General features: G+C 44.6%; 1 annotated feature.

Moving 5' to 3' along the window:
- Positions 221–1,069: an enhancer, noted in NCBI's record as "OCT4-NANOG-H3K27ac-H3K4me1 hESC enhancer chr2:118036121-118036969 (GRCh37/hg19 assembly coordinates)". NCBI's record gives its function as "activates a minimal SCP1, AML or CMV promoter by ChIP-STARR-seq in primed H9 embryonic stem cells {active_cell/tissue: H9 hESC(primed)}" and the evidence as "EXISTENCE:reporter gene assay evidence [ECO:0000049][PMID:30033119]".

Here is a 2,371-nt window from a genome sequence, read left to right on the forward strand (position 1 = left end):
TATATGTGTATATATATATATACACATATATATATATATATATATATATATATATATATACACATATATATATATATTTACTGTTCTTAAAAAGTGCACCAGGAGCAAAGAAAAAAATTAAAACGTAATTCAGGGAGACTTTCCAGAAATAAGAACAAATGTAAATTATTATATCAAAATGTCCTACCATTTACCTGTCAATTTTGACCTGAAAAAATTAACTCTTAGATATTCAAGTCAAACTAAAAAGTTATCAGGACAACCAGACAAAAAGATCTAATTACTTATAATAGTAATAGAAGAAGGCTATTAATTCACTTCAAAAGAGCAATAATTAAAAGCCATTTTCAAGACACTCAAAAGAGAAAGCATAAGACAAAAGATTTTATATCTAGCCAAGCCATTTTTAAAATATAGATTATATTAAATGTCAGGCCTCTGAGCCCAAGCCAAGCCATCGCATCCCCTGTGACTTGCACGTATACGCCCAGATGGCCTGAAGTAACTGAAGAATCACAAAAGAAGTGAATATGCCCTGCCCCACCTTAACTGATGACATTCCACCACAAAAGAAGTGTAAATGGCCGGTCCTTGCCTTAACTGATGACATTACCTTGTGAAAGTCCTTTTCCTGGCTCATCCTGGCTCAAAAAGCACCCCCACTGAGCACCTTGCGACCCCCACTCCTACCCGCCAGAGAACAAACTCCCTTTGACTGTAATTTTCCTTTACCTACCCAAATCCTATAAAACAGCCCCACCCTTATCTCCCTTCGCTGACTCTCTTTTCAGACTCAGCCCGCCTGCACCCAGGTGAAATAAACAGCCATGTTGCTCACACAAAGCCTGTTTGGTGGTCTCGTCATACGGACGCGCATGAAATTTGGTGCCGTGACTCGGATGGGGGGACCTCCCTTGGGAGATCAATCCCCTGTCCTCCTGCTCTTTGCTCCATGAGAAAGATCCACCTACGACCTCAGGTCCTCAGACTGACCAGCCCAAGAAACATCTCACCAATTTCAAATCCGGTAAGCGGCCTCTTTTTACTCCCTTCTCCAACCTCCCTCATTATCCCTCAACCTCTTTCTCCTTTCAATCTTGGCGCCACACTTCAATCTCTCCCTTCTCTTAATTTCAATTCCTTTCATTTTCTGGTAGAGACAAAAGAGACATGTTTTATCCGTGAACCCAAAACTCCGGCGCCGGTCACAGATTGGGAAGGCAGCCTTCCCTTGGTGTTTAATCATCGCAGGGACGCCTCTCTGATTATACACTCACGTTTCAAGGGTGTCAGACCACACAGGGATGCCTGCCTTGGTCCTTCACCCTTAGCGGCAAGTCCCGCTTTTCTGGGGAAGGGGCAAATACCCCTCAAACCCTTCTCTCCTTGTCTCTACCCCTTCTCTGCTTTTCTGGGGCAGGGGCAAATACCCCTCAACCCCCTCTCCTTCACCCTTAGCGGCAAGTCCCACTTTCCTAGGGGGCAAGAACCCCCCAGTCACTTATTTCCACGCCCCAACCTCTTATCTCTGCACCCCAATCCCTTATTTCCATGCCCCAATCTCTTATCTCTGTGCCCCAATCCCTTATTTCCATGCCCCAACCCTTTCTCTGCTTTTCTGGAGGCGAAGAAACCCCCACCCCTTCTCCGTGTCTCTACTCTTTTCTCTGGGCTTGCCTCCTTCACTATGGGCAAGTTCCACCTTCCATTCCTCTTTCTTCTCCCTTAGCCTGTATTCTTAAGAACTTAAAACTGCTTCAATTCTCACCTGACCTAAAATCTAAGCATCTTATTTTCTTCTGCAATGCCGCTTGACCCCAATACAAACTCAACAGTAGTTCCAAATAGCCAGAAAACGGCACTTTCAATTTCTCCATCCTACAAGATCTAAATAATTCTTGTCATAAAATGGGCAAATGGTCTGAGGTGCCTGACGTCCAGGCATTCTTTTACACATCAGTCCCTTCCTAGTCTCTGTGCCCAGTGCAACTCGTCCCAAATCTTCCTTCTTTCCCTCCCGCCTGTCCCCTCAGTACCAACCCCAAGCATCGCTGAGTCTTTCTAATCTTCCTTTTCTACAGACCCATCTGACCTCTCCTCTCCTCTAAAGGCCGAGCTAGGTCCCAATTCTTCCTCAGCCTCCACTCCTCCACCCTATAATCTTTTTATCGCCTCCCCTCCTCACACTTGCTCCGGCTTACAGTTTCGTTCCGTGACCAGCCCTCCCCCACCTGCCCAGCAATTTATTCTTAAAAAGGTGTCTGGAACTAAAGACATAGTCAAGGTTAATGCTTCTTTTTCTTTATCCCAAATCAGATAGCGTTTAGGCTCTTTTTCATCAAATATAAAAATCCAGCCCAGTTCATGGCTC

Source organism: Homo sapiens, chromosome 2 (genome assembly GCF_000001405.40).
Source record: "Homo sapiens chromosome 2, GRCh38.p14 Primary Assembly".
Classification (NCBI taxonomy): domain Eukaryota; kingdom Metazoa; phylum Chordata; class Mammalia; order Primates; family Hominidae; genus Homo; species Homo sapiens.